The sequence below is a fragment of the Homo sapiens genome, chromosome 10 (assembly GCF_000001405.40).
Source record: "Homo sapiens chromosome 10, GRCh38.p14 Primary Assembly".
Classification (NCBI taxonomy): domain Eukaryota; kingdom Metazoa; phylum Chordata; class Mammalia; order Primates; family Hominidae; genus Homo; species Homo sapiens.
In genome coordinates, this window is record NC_000010.11 from 101,997,891 (window position 1) to 102,021,517 (window position 23,627).

The window sequence follows — 23,627 nt, forward strand, 5'->3', positions numbered from 1 at the left end:
CTATTGCTGCTAAAAACATAATGAGATGCTGTTAGCCAAGGCATGCAGCAGGGGCTGAGGCAGGAAGAAAGCTGGGCCAATAAAGCCACACAGGAGTCATTTTTGAAATTAACTCTTCATTCCTAACCTTGCCCTTTGCCATATTTAGGTTGCCTGTTGGCCAAGACCACTCATTCTACAATTAATCAGCCTTTAATTTTGCCTTCCATTTTATGGATGGCAAGTGACCAAGACAAAGAAGCTTATATAATCACTAAAGCTAAAAATGAGTTCCAAGGGCCTCAGTTCACTGTGTTATATCCGGCAAAGCTAAAAGTTCATTTTCTAGGTCACATCCATGCAGTGTCTCTATTCTGTGGTTGCTGCAATACTTCTAGAGAAAGGAAGAGGTTACCATTTCCATAAAGAAGCAATGGCTTCAAGAAAGTGATACACAAGTCTGGTTATCCTTGCTTACCAGATCTCTCTTGCCAAGTCTCAGAGGTTCAGCTATCTCTGCAGCTCCCAATGGACTGTTTTATGTTAGGAGTTAGTGACATGGACTACTTAAATCTATCTCATCCCTGATATAGCTCTCTCTTTCTTGAAAGAGAACACTTGCAAAACATAAAGGAAGAAAAAAGTCTAAGTTTGCAAGGCAGAAATCTCCAAGAGCTAATACAATATGTCTGAGTGTAACATATCTTAGACTCTGCCCACCCAGGCTCCTTTCTGCTCTGGCAATTCTTCATTTCCCATACTTACCTTTTAGCTCTCCTGTCTCTGTCTACCAATGTTTCTTTCTCACTCTAAAAGTCTCCGAATCCTGGTCTTCTCCTCCTATGCAGTTCTTGCCTTTCAGCTCCATTCTTAGACTTCTGAAAACTCTCCAACCAGAAACCTACCTACCTCACTTGGCAAATAAGAGACTTCTAGAGTATACTTAATGCCTAAGGGAAACTTAAACCACCTACAAGGCATTAATCTCTCCTCACAGAAAGTAAAGTGGCAAAAACCATAGTATTTCAGCAATTTTGCTTCTAAAGTGGAAATGGTTTTTTTGTTATTTAGGAATCTGAAGTTCATCTGTGGACCATAATTTAAGAACCCAAATATAAACTACTGGACAGTTAGTTCCTAAAAAGGATTTAAAGATTCTTATAAAGAAGCCTTAAAAAGGAAGAATCTATGCCAAATTGTTAAGAGTGATTAACTCTGGAGAGTTTAAATTACAAAGAACTTTCACTTTCTAAGTTAACTATTGCTAGAATGTTTTAATTTTTAATAAGAATATTTCAATTATTTTTGTAATTAGGAAAAAAAATCCTTTTTTTTTTTTGAAACAGAGTTTTGCCCTTGTTGCCCAGGCTAGAGTGCAGTGGCATGATTTTGGCTCACTGCAACCTCCGCCTCCCGCATTCAAGCGATTCTTATGCCTCAGCCTCCCAAGCAGCTGAGATTACAGGCACCCACCACCATGCTTGGCTGATTTTTGTATTTTTAGTAGAGACAGGGTTTCACCATGTTGGCCAGGCTGGTCTCAAAGTCCTGACCTCAGGTGATCCTCCCACCTAGGCCTCCCAAAGTGCTGGGATTACAGGTGTGAGCCACAGCGCCCAGCCAAAAAATCCTTTTAAATAGGAGAAGCCCACTGGATCAATCTGTAGGTACCAAAAGAAATGCTAATAAAAATGTTCATTAAAATGCTAGCTTTGTGTCCCAAAAAAGCAAGCATTTTGGGGACAAATGGGGATACTGAAATAGGGACTAAATATTACATGATACTACAGAATTATTGTTGACTTTCTTAGATATAATAATGGTATTCTGGATATCTAGGAAAATGTCCTTAACTTTAGGTGATACATGTTAAAATATTTATGTGTAAAGCAGAATCATGATGTCTGCAACTTCATTTAAAATGATTCAGCCAGGCCGGGCGTGGTGGCCCATACCTGTAATCCCGGCACTTTGGGAGGCTGAGGTGGGCGGATCACAAGGTCAGGGGTTTGAGACCAGCCTGGTCAACACAATGAAACCCCGTCTCTACTAAAAATACAAAAATTAGCCAGGTGTTGTGCCACATGCCTGTAGTCCCAGCTACTCCAGAAGCTAAGGCAGGAGAATGGCTTGAACCTAGGAGGCGGAGGTTGCAGTGAGCCTTGGTTGCAATTGCACTCTAGCCTAGGCAACAGAGCAAGATTCTGTCTCAAAAAAATAAAAAATAAAATAAAATAAAATGATTCAGCCAAAATAACAACAACAACACACAGAAAGAAATTTAAGTGCAAACCAAGTATGGTAAAATGTTCATGAGTATATAGGTAAATCACTTCACAATTATTTTCAACTTCTGTATACTAGAATTTTTTCATTACAAAAAATGGAAGAAAAAATGCTAGCTCAGTGTCACCATGAAATCAAAGGCTTACTTCCAGGCAATCCTAAAACTGGGATATATTCCACTTATATCAGGTTCCTAGAGCAGTCAAATTTATAGAGGCAGAAAGCAGAATGGTTGCTGTCAGGCCTTGGGGCAAGAGGAGGATGGGGTATTAGTGTTTAATGGGTATAGAGTTTCCATTTTGTAAGATGAAAAAGTTCTGAGGCCAGGTGCGGTGGCTCACACCTGTAATCCCAGTACTTTGGGAGGCCAAGGCGGGCAGATCACTTGAGCCCAGGAGTTCAAGACCAGCCTGGGCAACATGGCGAAACCCCGTATCTACAAAAAATACACACACAAAAAAAATATTATCCAGGTATAATGGTGCACACCTGTAGTCCCAGCTACTCAGGAGCCTGAGGTGGGAGAATCACCTGAGCCCAGGAAGTCAAGGCTGCAGTGAGCTGAAACCACACTACTGCACTCCAGCCTGGCTGACAGACTGAGACCCTGCCTTCAAAAAACAGAAAAATAAAAAGTTCTAGAGATGGATGGTGATGATAGTTTTGTTGTTTTTTTTTTGAGATGGAGTCTCACTCTGTCATGCAAGCTGGGGTACAGTGGCGCGATCTCAACTCTCTACAACCTCCACCTCCCGGGTTCAAGCAATTCTCCTGTATCAGCCTCTCGAGTAGCTGGGATTACAGGCACATGCCACCACGGCCGGCTAATTTTTGTATTTTTAGTACAGACAAGGTTTCACCATGTTGGCCAGGCTGGTCTTGAACTCCTGGCCTCAAGTGATCCTCCCGCCTCAGCCTCCCAAAGGGCTGGGATTACAGGCATGAGCCACCGTACCCAGCCAGTGATGATGGTTGTACAAAAATATGGAAGTAGGTAATGCAACTAAATAGTACATTTAAATATGGTTAAGATGGTAAATTTTGTTATATATACTTTACCACAATAAAAACAAACATAAAAATTGTGAACACTCACATAAATCCTGTATAAAGAAAAATGCTAAGTAGGGGAAAAAAAACAAAACTAAGATATATACTGGATAGAATTTGCTGTGTCTCCTTCCAACCCCTTCTCAATCCTAGGACAACTACTCCACTACTCTACCACCAAGTAAAAGGCCATGGCAAAATCACAAACAGAGGAAAAACAGGAAATCACACAACAAAACCTCAAACTTTTCCAACACTCAATCCTCTCCCACTTCCACTCTTGCATTTCTAGGATGGGTATTGACACTTCTATTTTAAGTGTTCAAGAACAGAGTCCCTCTGAATCTCACCTCTTCCTACTGTACTGTGTACGACAGTCCTCTAATTCTCACCACGAGCTGATGCTTTCAGTTCCTGTCCTCAAAAGGGAATTCCCTGAAGCGTGCTAATCCCTCCACTTCCCACACATAAGAGTCTGCATCTACTTACCAAGATCTGCTAAGAAGATTTGCTAGCTTTCAAAGAGACCAATTTTTTTCCTGTTCTATTTTTGAGTACTCCCCTCCAGCTTCAGGTTTTCCCAACACCACCTAATTGCCATCTAGCAATTAGGTGAGACATCACTATTTTCCAGCAATGAAGACCATGTACACAAGGCCCCAATAGTTCATCTTGTCAAAGCTTCAAAATATTAATGTTGCTCTTTGATGCTAGCTGCCTGCCACACCTTTGACTTCCTGAGCCCCCAAAATAGCTATGGCTTACCTTTGGTGTCCTGCATGACAATTGAGCTATACTTTAAAAAGGTTATCAGTAGATTACTGGTCTGTACATCTGCATCCAGTGGGAGTTCCACAGAACTTATAACTGGAATAGAACAGATAAAATGCACTTAGCCTGCAACATATTCCATCTAACACTTCTACCCACATAGCCAATTTGCCAGCAGGCAAAAAAATCACTAAATAAGCTTTTTCCACAACAGAGGGAGGACCAAGTGCTCATCACAAAACTTTTATCTACTCTTCCTAAGCCTGTAGAGCCCCCTTCCTATTCCCCAAATTAAGCCCAGTGACCTGCTCTCCTATCTAGGGCCAGTCTCCAAGAACGGTGCTTTTTCTCCCAACATCCTGGGAAGGGTATGTTGATTCCACTTCCTGCCCCAAGTATCCCCAAAGAGTTTAAGGCCCTTCTTAAAGAAACTTCGATTTCTACCTGAAGGAAAGATCTGTATTGAATATAAATGAGTTTTACTTTGATGGGTCTCCTGCTTGAAATCAGTGAAGATTCCTCCCTAACAAGGAGAAATCTTGCTGAATTTTGAGAACAAGTCTTTAGGCTGGACGTACCCATGATAGAGAGGGGAAAATGTTAAGGCAGAACTATATTCAAATTCTACCACTATTAAGTGGCAGACTTCCCTTCCCCGCTTAAGGGAACTGAAAGTAATAGTAGACTGAAAACAGATGAACAGGTCAAGCGCAGTGGCTCACGCCTGTAATCCCAGCACTTTGGGAGCCCGAGTTGGGCACATCACCTAAGGTCAGGAGTTCGAGGTCAGCCTGGCCAACATGGTGAAACCCCATCTCTACTAAAAATACAAAAATTAGCTGGGCATGGTGGTCGGTGCCTATAATCCCACCTACTAGGGAAGCTGAGGCAGGAGAATTGCTTGAAACCGGGAGGCGGAGGTTGTAGTGAGCCGAGATGGCGCCACTGCACTCCAGCCTGGGTGACACAGCGAGACTCTGTCACAAATAAATAAATAAATAAATAAATAAATAAATAAATAAATAAAAACAGATGAACATTACTGATTGGAACAGCCTGGGAACTGAGTTTTACATACCTAGCTGATGTTTCTAAGAGAAATCCCCCACCCAGTTCTCTGAGCCACAGTCCCAATGAACAATGACAGATAATTGGCCTCTAATGACCAGGGCTGACCACAGAACACAGTATTTTCTTTTTTTTTGAGACAGAGTCTCGCTCTGTTGCCCAGGCTAGAGTGCAGTGGTGCCATCTCAGCTCACTGCAACCTCCGTCTCCTGGGTTCAAGCAATTCTCCTGCCTCCGCCTCCCAAATAGCTTGGATTACAGGCACCCACCACCATGCCCAGCTAATTTTTGTATTTTAGTAGAAACAGGGTTTCACCATGTTGGCCAGGCTGGTCTTGAACTCCTGACCTCAAGCAATCCACCCACCTCGGGCCTCCCAAAGTGTTGGGATTAAGGCATGAGCCACTGTGCCTGGCCCAGAACAAAGTCTTAATGTAGGCTTCCCAAAATTCTAAGACTTTAAATTAGACTCAGACCTCTTGTTAAGTGCTTTTACACTGCCTAAGACACAATATATAAGTTAAAAGGAGTCTTATAATGGCCCAAAAAAGCTAGAGAATCTATGGCTTTCTGCTACATTTTCAGCCATGAAGACTCAGTTGACTTTGGGATATTACTCATAATATGTATTCATAACCATAACAGATCCCTCTGGAGTTATTACGACATATGCAGAGAACATTTATGAACAGTGAGAAACATTTGCATTTTATGAACCCATAATAAACAGCAAGCACAACAAAAAGCCTTATGAAAAGAAATCAGCATGCCCAACCCCTGGCTATTTTCCCAGTTAGGCCTCCAAGAGCTAATATAAGACAAATATATTTTTATGTTGAAATACTAAAAGGTTTTAATTCATGTTATGGGTTAATGACCCAAGACTGTCATTTCAAACCACAGCCTGTTTTGAAGCTCAGAACCCGTAATCATCCCTTTGTCCAATACAAGGAGGCACCTAACTGGTAAGTGGGGCTTTTTTCCTGCTCATACACAGCAATAACTGGAAAACTATCTTATATAATATGTAGAAATATAGAAGTATATGTATTTTTAGTTTACCAGAAAGTCCTCTCATGCCAAGGCTGAGTTGTCAAATGTCAAGTCTGAGCTGAGAACAAATGTTATAGCTAAACTGCCGGCTTTTAAAAATATGGCTCTGGTGACATACCTTTAAATATAAGTGGGCTACTGAACACCACTATAATTAAGATCTAAAAATTAAAAACAAGGTTGTAATACTTAGGAACCCTACAGAAGGAAATGAGTTAGGAGACAGGGAAAAGAACAAATAGAACAGAGACAGAATAAAATCCCTCACAAATTAAAATCTTCTTCCTAAGGAAGAGTCATTCCTTGATCTTTGGCTTCATAATTCTTCCCAGCAGCTTTTGTCAAGGGAGACAGTCATTTGAAAGTGGGCTGACTTGATCTTCCCACTAGAAAAAATAAAAGCTCACTGGTTGTAGGTAAGTAAGCACAAATCCTACCATTGCATAATCAAGTGTGTGGGTGGAAGTGTTCACAATGAACAGTTTGAAAGGCAGTTCTCTGAAGCATCCAAACCCCAACATCACATGGAACTCATATATATATATATGGCTTTTGATATCCATGGTAACCAGGCAGGGTTCATTCTTAAAGAGAAAGTACTGTATTTCCATTGGGTTATTCTGTGGCCTGAATAAACAGAGACAAGTAGGCAATCCTTACTACTTGCTCCTTCTCAGTAAGATATTTTGGGGCTGGGCATGGTGGCTCATGGGTGTAATCCCAGCACTTTGGGAGCCCGAGGCAGGCGGATCACCTGAGGTCAGGAGTTCGGGACCAGCCTGGCCAATACAGTGAAACCCCATCTCTACTAAAAATACAAAAATTGGCCAGGCGTGGTGGCTCACGCCTGTAATCCCAGCACTTTGGGAGGCCGAGGCAGGCGGATCACGAGGTCAGGAGATCGAGATCATCCTGGCTAACACTGTGAAACCCCATCTCTACTAAAAATACAAAAAATTAGCCGGGCATGGTGGCACACACCTGTAGTCCCAGGGAGGCTGAGGCAGGAGAATCACTTGAACCTGGGAGGTGGAGGTTGCGGTGAGCTGAGATCGCACCCCTGCACTCCAGCCTAGGCAACAGTGCGAGACTCCGTCTCAAAAACAAATAAATAAATAAAAATAAACATACAAAAATTAGCCGGGCATTGTGGTACATGCCTGTAATCTCAGCTACTCAGAAGGCTGAGGCATGAGAATCGCCTGAATCTGGGAGGCAGAGGTTGCAGTGAGCCGAGATCACACTACCACACTCTAGCCTAAATGACAGCAAGACTCTGTCTCAAAAAAAAAAAAAAAAAAAAAAAGATATTTTGGGATTTGGCTTTCAATTCTAAACAGATCCAATTTGCTACCATATATATAACTAACAATGGCACCTCCCTGTCATAGTTCTGTACTGTTTATACTGCCTGGAAATGTTACTGCCACGGGTGGTATATGAAAACTTAAAGGAGAGAAAGAATAAAGAAGGTCATTTCACGTACAAACAGTGGGGAGGCAAAAAGAAAGTATCAAAGTTGGATTGTCTGTACTTCTTTACCAAAACAAGGTCAATCTTTGAGCTACAACATCAAATATTAACATAGATTGTTTTTAGGTTACAATATTCCACCAAACACACTCAGCCTATAATAGACCTCAAAATTTTTGGCAAAAATTCATAATTTCTTTTCTGTTGCCTTTTTCTTAGGTTCCAGCCATAAGATTTATGAAGGGGAAATTTTCACCGTTGTTGTCTTGAGGGAGATAAATCTTACGTATCCACCAAACTCCCAATTATAATACACTCAAAGCCTGTCCTTTCCAACTGGGAGTGGCTGATAGACACATAACAGTGAGTGAGTGCCAGGTTCACATTCTCATTCATTTATTCAACAAATATTTATTAAGCAAGTACCATGCTGGGCACTATGCTAGGCATTTAGTAGTAAACAAAATAGACAAGATCCTGCTTACATGTTTGGGTTCTCAGTCTCTACTCTCACTAATCTTAGGCAAACTGCTTCATTTCTCTGGCCTTAATTCCCTCATTGATCAAATGGTAACATCAGATAACATTACTATTTTACATTCATTTCAGTGCTTTATAATCACAAGGTGACATTTTTCACAAAATATCTCATCTGAGCCTCACAAGGACTCTGAGAGTGTGGCAGGACAGGCATTACTGACCTTGCAGGTCTAGCACTCCATGCCTCTACAACTACTCCCTGAGGAGGAAAAGCTAGAGTTATGTAAGCTTCTTTTACAGAGAAAATCACTGGACTGTCTTTTTCCAAAGTTTTCTTTGGAAATTTAGGAGGCCTGAAGGATAGTACTACAGACCAATTTAGTGGGAAAAATTAACAACTACGTAGGTTCTTTGTTGAACACAGCTATGCTCACTCTGAGAGATCTAAGATCATATTAACCAAGAAAAACAAAGTGGTGGTGGGCTCACCATCAGAGGAAGGCGGTGTGGTCCCAAGTGGTGTGACTGGGGTTGTAGGAGCAGGACTGACAGGGGTCGTCACCAAGCCCATTTCTGGATGGCTCTGAAAAAGATACACAGATGTGTAAGAAAACAGAAAATCCAGTTCTCCCTGAGTATCAAGTGCCTAATACCAATAAGGACTGGTATTCTGGACCTTATAATTTTTTTTTTTTGAGACAGCATCTTGCTATGTTGTCCAAGCTGGTCTCGAAATCCTAGGCTCAAGCACTCTCCTGCCTCAGCCTCCTGTGTACGTAGGACTACAGATGCATGCCACTGTGCCCCTAGTCTCATAATTAGAAAGCTCACTGAGGCTGGGCACAGTGGATCACACCCATAATCCCAGCACTTAGGGAGGCCTGGGCAGATCACAAGGTCAGGAGATCGAGACCATCCTGGCCAACACGGTGAAACCCCGTCTCTACTAAAATACAAAAAATTAGCCAGGCATGGTGGTGCATGCCTGTAGTCCCAACTACTTGGAAGGCTGAGGCAGGAGAATCACTTGAACCCAGGAGGCGGAGGTTGCAGTGAGGTGATATCACGCCACTGCACTCCAGCCTGGTGACACAGCAAGACTCTATCTCAAAAAAAAAAAAAAAAAAAGAAAAAAAAAGCTGAGAAGGGACTACTTCTGTATTTCGTTCTCATGAGTACTTGATTACGACTGATGCTTGCTAATCTCTAATAAGCTCTGTGTGCTAATTTATCTTAAGCAACTAGGTTCCCATTACATAAGTTTTTCTGTGGCACCACAGACATTTAAAAAAAAAAAAAAAAACTGGGGTCAACAAATATACAGGATTATTCTACAAGAGAGCAGAGAACATTTGCAATCCCATCCAGACCTGGGATCTCATCAGATCAACCTAAAACACATCAATAGGCTGTTCTGATAACCAAATAATTGACTAGCAGATGTAGATGAGTCAAGGGGATACCAGGTACTATAAAAAGAGCTATTCAGCCGGGTGCGGTGGCTCACACCAGTAATCCCAGCACTTTTGGGAGGCCGAGGCAGATGGACCACGAGGTCAGGGGATCAAGACCATCCTGGCTAACACAGTGAAACTCTGTCTCTACTAAAAAAAAAAAAAAAAAAAAAAAAAAATTAGCCAGGTGTGGTGGCAGGCACCTGTAGTCCCAGCTACTCGGGAGGCTGAGGCAGGAGAATGGCGTGAACCCGGGAGGCAGAGCTTGCAGTGAGCAGAGATCGTGCCACTGCACTCCAGCCTGGGTGACAGAGCGAGACACCATCTCCAAAAAAAAAAAAAAAAAAAAAAAGCAAAAGAGCTATTCAGATGGCGGCCTTCCTGTTCCACAACAAACAAAAGTGTGTGTGCCTTCATTGGGAGGCAAAGACATGGTGAGACACCCAGTAGGGACCAAAACAGATGACTCTTCTGTCCCTAACCTTTCTTAGCCATCCCTCCCACATCAGCTCTTGAGAATTAAGCTGAGTGATAGCTGTTTTTAACTTCCCTTTTCTTCCCTAACAGCTTTACCAGCACTTTACCTTCCTCACCTCTTCCTTTACAATCAGTTATAGGATTTGGAGAGCAGATAAGAAACGAGTGAAAATAATAACTAAAGTCTCTATGTTATCAGTCATGAAAACTCTTAAGTGTTCTATGAAGCAGATCTCAAACCAGCATGATGCTTTTTAAGCATGACCTTATTTTTGTGTTAAAATTCAAATCAATAGATTCCATATACATCTACCCTTTGAGAAAAAGCATAAGCAAACTTTCCCTTAAAATAACCCTACATACATATTTTAAACAGTCTGGCTTTAAGATAATAACACTTTATCAATTTTTTAAAATGGCTTTCATGGACAGCTCTTGAGTTCTTGGTCTACTTTAGTCCTCTTCTATGCCAATTACTGTGGCTATCCCTCAGGCATGTGACCCATCGCTCAGTATTCTGGGGGTATTTTTGTTTGTTTTTTTATTTTGTTTTATTTTGTTATGTTTTGTTTTTATTTTATTTTTTTTTGAGACAGAGTCTCACTCTGTCACCCAGGCTGGAGTGCAATGGCGCGACTTCGGCTCACTGCAAGCTCTGCCTCCTGGGTTCACGTCATTCTCCTGCCTCAGCCTCCCAAGTAGCTGGGACTACAGGCGTCCGCCACCACGCCCAGCTATTTTTTTTTTAATTTTTTTTTTATTTTTAGAAGAGACAGGGTTTCACCGTGTTAGCCAGGATGGTCTTGATCTCCTGACCTTGTGATCCGCCCACCTCAGCCTCCCAAAGTGCTGGGATTACAGGCGTGAGCCACAGCGCAGGGCCCAGCGCTCAGTATTCTATGACTTCCTTTCAATGTATGTAAACCACGTTATCTGTTAACAGCTAACCTTAACCTGGCCAGGATATTTTTTACTTTTTTCCTCTGGAAATTGGTGAGATAATAAGGTGAGTGGCTTGGCCTATTTTATCTCCAGTTGTAATTCCACAGTGGTGTGGAAAGCAGAAAGCCCAATATAAAAATCCACATAGCGGATAATACCAGGGATTTCTAGTGAGCAAAATGAAGTCATGACAATTCATTTGGGTTAACAGGATCAATAAATTGGCCAAAAAAACTAACTTTGCACGTTATTAGACCCATTTCAGCACCAATGGAAACATACATATTTGAGGACAGCAGGAAACAAAGGCAACTGATTCAACTCCTTGTTACTACCACTTACCAATGCAAAGCAGGGTTTAAACAAGTACAGCCAGATAGGCTTTTCAATGGAATTAATCGGTATGAAATTTAGAGAGAAAAAAACACTGGGATTTTTAATGTGACCAACCTGAGCTAATACTGTGATGAAGTTGCGATTTAAATGAACAGCTTCATAAAGTGCCAGAAGAATGGCCTCATTGGTTCTAAAGAAAAAGAGAACAAATTGGAGCAGTTTTTATAGTGGGGGGAGTTAAAACAGTATAACCATGAAGATAAGATTGGATTGCACCCCAGCGCCTCATTATCAATTCCTTTGCATTTCTAAAGTTCCCCTTTACTTGCCATTTGGGCGTATGCAAAAGTGTATAGGCAGGAGTCAGGGCCTTCACTTTAATTCCTTAGGACCAGTTCTCATCTACTTCATTATCTTCCCTCTGTTTTTCCACCTCAACCCAGTTAAGTCCTCAACTGGCTCAGACACCCATCCCTCTTTTGTTTCATTGCAGAGATAGTCTGGCAACAGTTGTTCAGCTTATTGTCGCTCAATACATATGAAAAGCAGAAATTTCTAAGGGTCCATTAATGTTCAAAACCCATGAAACATTTGAAAATCACCAAAAAAGTATGATTCTGTAAAAGATTAGCAAGAGGTAACACTGCACACTCTCATATCCAGCAGGACAGCCCACACTAAAGTCCAAGTCACTGCACAAGAATGTCAGGCACTTACTGTACTGAGATTTTCTCATGGGCATCTGCTATGAACATGCTGCCCACCTGTGGAAGAAAAGGGGAATTGCAAACTTATAGCAGGAGGATATGAGAGGAGCTTTATGCCTAGGAAGCCTTTTATCAGTGAAGAAAACAAGCTGCTTCCACCTGGGGAGAACTTGGAACTCTAGGCCATAAGTCACACACACCAAAACCAGCCCACTTTGAAAATCTTAAAAGACTCATAAGTAATAAATGAAATAATGAGAATCCTACTAAATCATCTTGCCTAGTAAATCATCTTGCCTACTAAATCACCTCGCTTTAAAGAAAAAGCCTAGTACTTTTGTCCAACTCTCCTTTTCAGTGTGTAAGTTTAGTCCCTCTGACAGTTAACCTACACATCTTCATCACTCTGTATCTTTCCTAGAAGTTGCTTATTTGAAGTCAGAAACTAACTTAGGAAAAACTTCACAGGAAGCAGGCTGACTTCAACCAACATAAAGCTATCTTTGGGAACAATATTCAGGTTTCAGACCAAAGCTGTCTATATGAGATCCACTCTCCATTTTTCAGATAACAAAATCTTTAGTTTGTGTCCTAGTCAGAGCAAGTGAATAAGTAAATGGAGTAGGCTGCCTCTAATGTGTATGATATCAGAAGCACTAAGATGCCTACACCCACTAAAAAATACCTCTTCCACCTCCTTAATTATGCTTGAAACTATACACAAACCTATGCTCCTAGAGCTTCATGTGTTTGGTACAAAACTTTCTGAAAACTTGACTGAAAGGCAGAGATATCTGGGAGCAGTATAATTGTATCTAATTCATTTCATCAAACACCAGTACAAAACTCATACTTCTCTAGCCCCTGAGAGACTTCACTCATTTACATTTTGGAGTTAAAGAGTTTATCAGGCCCCTTCCTGAGAACAGGCTGAGAAGGCAGAAGGAACAATTCGTAAGCAGTGGAGGAAAAAGAATTGCAGAAGTGGAGGAGGAGAGGGGGCAACTACTTCTTGCAACTAACCAAAAAATTGTCTTGCCCTAGAGCTGAATACTTGGATAATAATGCCCGAAAGACAGACTTTCTGAATCTGCCTAGATTCTAGAATCTCCTAGATTTATCTCTTCAAAATCAGTCCCAGATTATCTGGTACCAAATGCCAAGAAACCTTGCCCTGGAGTCTTGCCAGCTGGACCAATAACTTCCCTAAAATTCAGACCTCTAAGCCCAAACCCTAAGCTATTAGAAGAGTGGCACAGATCTACTGCACGATCGCTCAACCCTAGGACCAGCTATGAGGATCAAACAGCCATGGCAGACAGCAAAGGAGCATTCAGGAGAGCACTCAGATCCAAACCCTACTATACCGTGTTCCACAAGGTCAGTGCCTAAACGGAGCCAACTCTTTAGGAAGCAAATTCTGGCTTAATGTGTACCTTTTCTTTAGCCTTTAAAAAATTAATTAATTAATTAATTAATGTGGAAAAACTAAGTGCCAGAGAAACCAAAGCTCTCCTTTCCCCATCTCACTTGGTTTTGAATCTCACTAAAGGTACATCAAAAGTGGGGATTCAAAAAAAAAAGAAAGAAACTCAGTAAAGGAAATACACTCCCCAAGAAAATCTGCTCTGAGCAGCCTCTCTCTTGTCATCATGCCATCACTTCAAATATCTGAACTTCGGAGCCCGATTTGTCCACCCCTGCAGACCACACTGTTTCTGTTTTTTTCAGGAGAAAAAAAAAAAGCAGGACTTACCATATTTGTTAAAGCAGAGAAAAAACCACTTTGGTGTTCTTCTTCCTTGTCTTTATACTGCCTAAACAAAAAGAACTAAATTCAACTTTAGGATTGTTTATCAATTATGTCTTTGTCCTTGACATTTGGGGTAATCAGGGCAGAGCACTCTTAAAATTCTCTGACTCCAGAAAACTAAAGCATTATGACAATCAAGCATCATGACAATCCCTGCAAGCTAAGAGTCACCTGTCTGCTCTTGAGGTAGTGTGTACCAAAATGCCTGGCTACTTTGGGAGAGACTTAGACTTAGAAAGCAGGCTGCAAAAGTGCCCTAACATATAGCTGATCCAGTTACTTCTCAAACAATCTATTACTTGAAAAGTGTGACAGTAAAATTACTTTAGGGCTACAACACTGAAAATCTTGTTTCTTTTTAAAGGAGGAGGAAGGAAATCAGTAAACTAAACTCTCTGCAGAGATGGGACAGATTTGAAGTTCTGATACCCAATTGTGTGTGAGAAAAGTCTAGAGAGGAGCATGAAAGATCCTGCCTGGCCCTTGCCAGAATTAGGGATACTTCTGGTTTCCATTCACTAATGTCAGATCCTTCCAGCAAAAGGGAAAGCAAGCATCAATGAAGGGAGCCCCCAGGAGAAACAGGGACTCTGGGAAGTTGAGGTTCATTCCCAATAAATAAGAAACATCTGTCAAACTAGGGCTACCTAATATACTTTCTCCTTTTATATATTTTTTAAGATAACAAAAAAGCAGTCTCCACAACCTTTTTTACATGGAAAATACTTGTATGATACACTGGACTAAATGGAAGTGCCCACTTGTGGCTGGAAGACTAGTTAAAATGCTCTGTAATAAAATACCAAAAGTTGCAAAGGAATGTGCCTAACTGCCTAAAGAGACACTAATCTGGTGGCTACTTTTCCCCTGGTGTTAAAAACAATCCCTGCTAAGGCCATCAAGCAAAGCTAGAGCAAATACATCTGCCAGGGGCTGTACATCTGAATACTCTTAGACTAGGTAAGGGAATTTGACCCAAGAACTCTAACAAAACTCTAACAACCAATTCAAATGAAAATCAGACCCCCTTCCATTCTGGAAAGGTGGACTTACCTGTTGTACTCAGATAAAGCCTGAGCAATTACAAGTCCCATTCCCTAGAAGGGAAAAGATAGCACAGGTGAAATAAGACAGTAGCCTTTGGGAGTTGGTGATGATGCTAGAACAAGGTCAGAAAGAACACTAATTAGCCCAAGAAGTCCTGCCTGAAAGTTGGCGACAAGGACAGAAATTCTGAGAGGCACTGTCAAAGCATCAAAAGGAAGTTCTTTGGGAAGACTTTTCGTATCTAATTATCTTAATGTTCCCAGGTACAATTAAAATGGATTATCAAGCGGTGAAACAGACCAGCCCAGATTGTTGACAATTTCACTGGGATCATTTTCACTTTGAAAGAGAAGATCCAGTTAGAATCTTCAAACAAAAAGCCCTCAAATGTCTCCAAAACAGTCACAGCAAGGTGACAATGAGTCCATGCTAAATGAAGGTGCACATAGATAAGCCACTTTCTTTAAAGCCACAGGAATGTAAAGGCAAGTAGCATTCAATAAATGTTAAAGTGACTTATCAACTTTCCCCCAGAACCTGTGATGCATAACACAAAGATCAATTAAGGCCACAGCATGAATCACGTGTGCATTTTTTCCATAAAGGAAATTGGAAAGAAGGAATAGGGTATGATGGAAAGGGAATAAAGCAAGACACCTGGTCATCTTCTTCCTCCCTATATTCAGAGATCAGATGTTATTTCTCAAACTTTCAAGGATACATATAGTAGATACAGATCATCCCCCTGTTTCAGTTTCACCAAGTCAGGCTATAAATACTATCTGGCTAGTTCTAAAAGAAGGAATCTCCCATCATTTAGTCATCTAAGCTTTCTTATTCTTGAATGTGTAATTTATTGACATCGTAGGATAATCAACTTCAGCACACTATAACATGAAACATAACCACTTCATCATGATTAGCAAGCAAATGTCCCCTCAAATCTTCCTTCCATGATAATAAGTCAGAAGACAGTAAAACGGTAGCACTGACGCACTAAAAAGAAATATTAATTCCCTCTCTATAACCGGATGAAATTGACAGAATAGCTCTCTGCTCTCTGTTCTAAATGTACTTTCACTGAAAGTAATACCATTGAATGCAAATAAGTAAGACAATACACAAGGATCCAGATACTCACATTGAGTGTGGCCTCATCATCCACGATAGACAGCTTCACAATATAAGGATTCACAGACTGTTAAATAAGAGAAGAGACTCCAGGTAAGTCTGACCTAGTTAAGAAAGCCCGTTAGCTATCTTTAAAGTGTTAACAAAAATGCTTCCATAAGGCCCTCTCTCTACAGTGATGCTCCTGATACACAGTCCCAATCCATATTGCCTGCTGACTCCTCCCATTTCCAGTTAATTTTTCAGTGTGTCTGGGCATTCATCAAGTGTACACACAAATACACATACACACCTCAGTTCTGTTCTACCATTAGGCTAAATCAGTGCAGGCCTTATGTCCATCACTTCTACGATCTTTCCCTCTTACTTGCATCTAAAAAGTAAGTGAGTGCTCCACAACACTCATTTTGTCCTACCCTACCAATAATTTACTAAGTCCATACAGATAGCTGTCTTTTGGGGAACATAAAAGCTTCTTGCCATAAGGCACATATTTATAAGTTGCTAACTTATATTTTCATCCCAAAGGCTCCCTAACCATTTCACAAACTACATGCAAGGACTGATTCACCCACCCGTAAAGCAAAGCCACCTTGGGGTGGAAAGTGGCAGCTGCTTAACAGCCAGAGAGGTCATTTATGGAGATCTGATACCCAAATAACACTGCAGGGAGAACTGAAAAAAAGGATGTAATTACCCAAACAACAATCTGGTCAGGACACTGGAATTTAATGATTGTCCCATCACTTAGAGCACTGGAAGAGTTCTTGGGTTTTTCCAGACCCAATCTCAGTTGGGCAGCATAAATGGTCATATATTTAAACTCATAAAGCAACTGGATCATCTCCTACAAGGGGGATGAGAACCAATGACCTCTCCTTACACCTATGGGATGTGAGGAAAAATTTCATATAAATCAGGCACCAATTCTAATCCAAGAGAGGCAAGGAACAATAGTTCTCAGACTGGCAGTTTCTACAGCTACCAAAAAAACTCATAACTAAGAAACTTGAAAACCCAACTGAAAGGCTCATTCCCCACACAGACCTATTTAACCAAGCTTCTGAGGGCATCTTTCGCACGTCAACTGGGAACAGAGAAAGAGACAGCTTTGCTTTCTTAACAGCCCAAATGTTTATAAGGTTTAATGCAACACAACTTAAGGGGTAAAACCCACTCCATTTGTTACTTGATCTGACAGAAGGAAGGCTCTCAACATTTCTTCCTATAACCAACAGTCAAATTCTGCTGATTCTACAGACCTCAAGGAAGCTCCCATGCAAGTGGGTCCTTGGAAAAGAAAATCAAGCAAAATCGGCTGACTTAGATATGCTGCCATGATGAGAGTAACACTAGAAAGAGCAGACCACTATTTCTTGGCATAATTTTTGAAGGTTCTAGTCACCCAAAAGTAGACTGTTTAAGGTTTTGGGATTTTTTTTTTTTTTTTGAGACGGAATTTTGCTCTTGTTGCCCAGGCTGGAGTGCAATGGCATGATCTCAGCTCACCACAACCTCTGCCTCCCAGGTTCAAGCGATTCTCCTGCCTCAGCCTCCTGAGTAGCTGGGATTACAGGCATGTGCCACCACGCCCAGCTAATTTTGTATTTTTAGTAGAGACAGGGTTTCTCCATGTTGGTCAGGCTGGTCTCAAACTCCTGACCTCAGGTGGTCCGCCTGTCTCGGCCTCCCAAAGTGCTGGGAATACAGGCGTGAGCCACTGCACCCAGCCTGTTTTAGGTTTTAATTGGGGTCATCTGATTTCCAAGCAAACGTTTGCATTCTAGTTCTTCTGCTTATTAATTGTGACGAATTAGGCACATAAAGCTAAGTTTCTATTTCCTCATCTGTAAAATGAGGATATAGATTGAGTATCTCATCTAAAATGCTTTAGGGCTGGGCACGGTGGCTCATGCCTGTAATCCTAACGCTTTGGTAGGCCAAGGTGGGAGGATCACTTGAGCCCAGGAGTTCAAGACCAGCTTGGGCAACATGGCAAAACCCTATCTCTACAAAAAATTTAAAAAGCTAGCCAGGCATAGTGGCACACGCCTGTAGTCCCAGCTACTCGGAAGGATGAAGTGTGAGGATCACTTGAGTCCAGGAGGTCAAGGCTGCAGTGAGCTGTGATCACGTCCTTCCACTCCAGCCTGGGTAACAGAGTGAGACCCTGTCTCGATCAATCAATCAAACAAACATTTGGGATAGAAGTACTTAGGATTTTGGATTTTTTTTTAACATTTTGGAATATGTGCATTACACTTAGCTGTTAAGCATCCCTAATCCAAAAATCTGAAATACTCCAATGAGCACTTCCTTTGAGTGTCATGTTGGTATTCAAAAAGTTTCAGATTTGGGGGCATTTTGAATTTCAGATTTTCAGATAAGAAATGGTCAACCTGTATTTTTTCTCCTGGGGTTGCTAAAAGGCTTAAATGAAGTAAGACACATCAAATCCTTAGCACAATACCTGGTACATGCTAAAGGCTTAATAATTGGTACAGGTAGCTGTGTGTTTTCCTCTTTTACATTATTATCACATTCAAAGGAAAGCTCTTTAGGAAAAAGGCAGTGTGGGGAGAAAAGGAACAACTTAATTAGACATAACAAACAATGTGTTAATTTCTGAGAAATGTCATGCTCTAGGAAACAGTTGGGATCTGAGTCACTTCATCTCAGGAGACTTGGCCAGCCTAGAAAGCCAGGATCTTATGTTGTGAAAATTTCTATTTTACCAGAGGCCAATTATTTAAACTATACCACTGTTGTACTGGTCACTTTTTAAAACTGGAGGAAATCTACTTTTCATCCACAAGACAGAATTACAAAATCTTTGAGTCTTCACAGTATCACTCTACTAGGGTCCTGCCTTTATTTGATTGCAGGTACACTTAACGTTTTCCATTGCTCTTCCCTAGACCTTTTTTGGGGGCTCTTTTGTCTTTTTGGATGAAATGATTAAAATGGAACACATTACTTGAAGTGAGGAAGAACTACACATTTACTACATGGTATCTTTTCTATCACTTTTATTGCTTAAGTCCAACAACTTCTTCACTTTCTCTGTGCTTAGTTGGGTACCCAACCTCTCTGTGCCTCGGTACCTTTCTGGAAAGGTTACAACTTACCCCATTGGTCATGAGATTGATTGTACTGGTGGCTAGAATGCTATTCTCCCCAGCACACTGCCTCATGCTAGTTTGCACAGAATTTCACCAGCTTTGGTTTTGCTGTGTTCATCTGGAATTCTTCACGTTCTTGTCAAAAACCTTCCTACTCCATGATCACCAGGCTTCCTTAATGGTTTCTGGTGAATGATTTATATCAAAAGCTGCAAAGCCCAGATAAATTAGGCCCACCAGCTCGCCCTTGCCCACTACATTAATTCTTCTGGGGGCTTCTGAAAGACTAGAGATGCATACTTCATTCCAGAAATATGATTCTCTCCAGTTCCTTGGCCATGTCCAATATTTCAGACTGACATTTCAGAGAGCCCTACTGAGCTGAGCCAGGATTCGGATCACAATCATGAAGCCAAGCCATTGCCTCAGAGTGGACTGCATCCAGTAGAATGCTCCAAAAATATTCATTACTGATGATAGTGTGTTCCTATCACATATAACCCTCACCTCTCTTTAACTATCCTCAGCATTTTTCCACAGCTATTTTTCTTGCTGTTGTAATGAGGCCCCAGAGGCTATTACACATGACAGAGATCAAAATGGCTACCATGCCAGCCCCTCCAGATCATCAGTAAAATAGGTGTTGGGAATAAATTTCATATTTATTAGGAGCTCTACCCACCATTCATCAGTTCCTCCAAGACAATGAAAACAATCAGATCCTGGAATTTATAACACATTCACATTGCTCTGCATATTCTAGTCCCTCTTTAAGTATTCCTTTCTCACGGCCTCCCCTTCTTCCATATCTCTTCTTATAAGAATAAGCTCCAGATTTTGTGTTACCCATCACTTTCAACCCGGCCAAATAAAGCCCAACTAGGACTCATATCAAAAATCACTAGGTGAAGATCCAGAAGCTCAAAAAAGAAAATTCTCTCTCCAGCTGGCCCAGTTCTCACAGTACTGCTATTTATTAAGTGAAGAAAGTCAGGTTGCCTCAGTGCAGCTCCTGACTTTTGGGTTCAGTAATGTACTCCTAGTTACCAGGACTCAGTGCCAAATGCTTCCTACTCCTCAAAAGCAATCTCCAATGAAGCCCCCGGTCTTCCTTGAGTGGTCCCCTTCCTTTTCTGTGTATTCTGCCTTTTGAAGGGAATCAAATATATGTGCCAACCCAAGTATAAATCTCTGGGTTCTGCTCTTCATCTCAAAAACCTATAAATCTGCACCTTGATTAATTCAGGGGCAAAAAGAACTCCAGAACTCATATGAATAAGGCACTGTCTTCAATTTTTCATTAAAATCAGAAGGAGTTTCTAGGCCAACAGCGATACTTACATAAGCAGATTGCATAAGAAGATGTGATACACAGTGATGTGCTGCATAAGGACATTTTGGTCCATAATGGACTGCATATACTATGGTGGTCCCATGAGATTATAATGGAACTGAAAAATCCCTATAACCTAGTGACATTTTAGCCATTATAACATAGTGCAACGCATTCATTACTCACATATTTCTGGTGATAATGGTGTAAAGAAACCTACTGTGCTGCCAGTCATATAAAAGTGTAGCACATACAATTATCAGCCAGGCACGGTGGCTCACTCCTGTAATCCCAGCACTTTGGGAGGCTGAAGTGGGCAGATCACTTGAGGTCAGGAGTTTGAGACCAGCCTAAATAATATGGTGAACTCCATCTCTATCAAAAATACAAAAAAATTAGCTGGGCATGGTGGCGCATGCCTGTAGTCCCAGCTGCTCAGAAGGCTGAGGCAGGAGGATCATTAGAGCCCGGGAAACAGAGGTTGCAGTGAGCCAAGATCATGCCATTGCACTCCATCCTGGGCAACGGAGTGAGACTCCGTCTCAAAAAAAAAAGTATAACACATACAATCATGTATAGTACCTACTACTTGATAATGACAATAAACGACTATGTTACTGGTTTATGTATTTACTATACTATACTTTTTTTTTTGAGATGGAATTTTGCTCTTTCACTCAGGCTGGAGTGTAGTGGTGCGATCTCAGCTCACTGCAACCTCCACCTCCTGGGTTCAAGCAACTCTCGTGCATCAGCCTCCCAAGTAGTTGGGATTACAGGTGCACACCACCATGCCCAGCTAATTTTTGTATTTTTAGTAGAGATCGGGTTTTGCCATGTTGGCCAGGCTGGTCTCAAACTCCTGACCTCATGTGATCCACCCACCTCAGCCTCCCAAAGTGCTGGGATTACAGGCATAAGCCACCACACCCAGCCTATACTATACTTTTTATTGTTATTTTCTAGTGTACTCCTTCTACTTATTTAAAAAAAAAAAAGTTAACTGTAAGACAGCTGAAGGCAGGTCCTTGAGCAGGTATTCCAGAGGAAGGCATTATTATCATAGGAGGTAACAGCTTCATGTGTGTTATTTCCCTGAAGATCTTCCAAATGCGGAGGTGAAAGACAGTGATATTGATCATCTGGACCCTGTATAGGCCTATGCTAATTTGTGTGTGTGTGTCTCAGTTTTTAACTAAAAAGTTTTAAAAATTGTTTAACTAAAAAAAGCTGGGCCGGGCGCGGTGGCTCACGCCTGTAATCCCAGCACTTTGGGAGGCCGAGGCGGGCGGATCACAAGGTCAGGAGATCGAGACCATGCTGGCTAACATGGTGAAACCCCGTCTCTACTAAAAATACAAAAAAATTAGCCGGGCGTGGTGGCAGGCACTTGTAATCCCAGCTACTCCGGAGGCTGAGGCAGGAGAATGGCATGAACCCAGGAGGCAGAGCTTGCAGTGAGCCAAGATCACGCCACTGCACTCCAGCCTGGGAGACAGAGTGAGACTCTGTCTCAAAAAAAAAAAAAAAAGCTTATAGAATAAAGATATATTCTTTTTATTCTTTAGGAGGCCAAGGCAGGTGGATCACGTGAGGTCAGGAGTTTGAGACCAGCCTGGTCTCAAACATGTCAAACATGTCATCTCAAACATCACAAAATATAGTACAATGTGTTTGTGTTTCAAGCTAAATGTTATTACAAAAGAGTTAAAAAGCTTTAAAAAATGTTTAAAGTTTATAAAGTAAAACAGTTACAGTAAGTTAATTTACTATTGAAGAAAGAAAAAATTTAATAAATTTAACGTAGCCTAAGTATACAATGTTTATCAAGTCGATAGTTGGCCAGGCACGGTAGCTCACACCTGTAATCCCAGAACTTTGGGAGGCCAAGGCAGGCAGATCACTTGAGGTCAGTTCAAGATCAGCCTGGCCAACATGGTAAAACCCTGTCTCTACTAAAAATACAAAAATTAGCCGAGCACGGCCGGGCGCGGTGGCTCACACCTATAATCCAAGCACTTTGGGAGGCCGAGGCGGGTGGATCACGAGGTCAGGAGATCGAGACCATCCTGGCCACCCTAGCTAACACGGTGAAACCCCGTCTCTACTAAAAATACAAAAAAATTAGCCAGGCGTGGTGGCGGGCGCCTGTAGTCCCAGCTACTTGGGAGGCTGAGGCAGGAGAATGGCGTGAACCCAGGAGGCGGAGCTTGCAGTGACCCGAGATCACACAACTGCACTCCAGCCTGGGCGACAGAGACTCCATCTCAGAAAAAAAAAAAAAAAAAAAATTAGCCGAGTATTGTGGCAGGTGCCTGTAATCCCAGCTACTCAGGAGGCTAAGGCAGGACAATCACTTGAACCTGGGAGGCAGAGATTGCAGTGAGATCGCACCACTGCACTACAGCCTGGGCAACAGACTAAGACTCTGTCTCAAAAAAAAAAAAAAAAAAAGTCTATAGTAGTATACAGTAATGTCCTAGGCCTTCACATTCACTCACCACTCACTCAGACTCACCCAGAGCAATTTCCAGTCCTGCAAGCTCCATTCATAGTAAGTGCCCTATTCAGGTGTATGATTTTTTTACAGTTTTTTTCATGTTTCATGAAGATCAACAACTATTTTATATCTTTTATACCATACCTTTTCTAGGTTTAGGTTTTGTGTGTGTGTTTGTTTTTGAGACAGGATGTGGCTTTGTCACCCAGGCTGGAGTGCAGGGGCGTGACATCAGCTCACTGTAACCTCCACCTCCTGGGCTCAAGCCTCCCTCCCACCTCAGCCTCCTGAGTAGCTGAGACTTCAGGCATGTGCCACCATGCTGGGCTAATTTTTGTATTTTTAAAAATATAGATGGAGTTTTGCCATGTTGGCCAGGCTGGTCTCGAACTCCTGGGCTCAAGCAATCCACTAGCCTTAGCCTCCCAAAGTGCTGAGATTACAGGCGTAAGCTACCGTCCCCAGCCTTAGATTTTTTTTTTTTTTTAAAGACAGGGTCTCACTATGTCACCCAGACTGGAGTGCAGTGGTGTAATCATGGCTCACTGTAGCCTCAAACTCCTGGGCTCAAGCAATCCTCCTGCTTCAGCCTCTCAAGTAGCTGA

At 41.7% G+C, this 23,627-nt stretch overlaps 1 protein-coding gene across 20 annotated transcripts in view, besides 2 other annotated features; it reads right to left on the bottom strand.

Annotated features, from left to right (window-relative positions):
* The window catches only part of ARMH3 (armadillo like helical domain containing 3), a 210,575-nt gene that overhangs the window by 152,292 nt on the left and 34,656 nt on the right, over window positions 1–23,627 (bottom strand). For 13 of the 20 annotated variants that reach the window (XR_001747199.2, XR_007061987.1, XM_011540157.3 and 10 more), the window contains 7 exons: window positions 16,078–16,134; window positions 14,943–14,986; window positions 13,833–13,893; window positions 12,087–12,133; window positions 11,484–11,559; window positions 8,650–8,743; window positions 4,081–4,182 (listed from right to left, as the gene is read on the bottom strand). Coding sequence is in view for 17 of the 20 variants with exons in the window: in XM_011540157.3 (XP_011538459.1) it covers window positions 4,081–4,182; window positions 8,650–8,743; window positions 11,484–11,559; window positions 12,087–12,133; window positions 13,833–13,893; window positions 14,943–14,986; window positions 16,078–16,134 (481 nt within the window). In the remaining 3 variants the exon portion in view is untranslated. Of the gene's footprint in view, window positions 1–4,080; window positions 4,183–6,475; window positions 6,594–8,649; window positions 8,744–11,483; window positions 11,560–12,086; window positions 12,134–13,832; window positions 13,894–14,942; window positions 14,987–16,077; window positions 16,135–16,764; window positions 17,506–23,627 lie in introns of those variants that run through there. The other 7 variants (XM_047425735.1, XM_011540154.3, XM_047425737.1 and 4 more) reach the window with 3 other exon arrangements.
* Window positions 6,636–6,685: a silencer, noted in NCBI's record as "silent region_2736". NCBI's record gives its function as "represses an Ori minimal core promoter by ATAC-STARR-seq in GM12878 lymphoblastoid cells {active_cell/tissue: GM12878}" and the evidence as "EXISTENCE:reporter gene assay evidence [ECO:0000049][PMID:35858748]".
* Window positions 11,957–12,026: an enhancer, noted in NCBI's record as "active region_3920". NCBI's record gives its function as "activates an Ori minimal core promoter by ATAC-STARR-seq in GM12878 lymphoblastoid cells {active_cell/tissue: GM12878}" and the evidence as "EXISTENCE:reporter gene assay evidence [ECO:0000049][PMID:35858748]".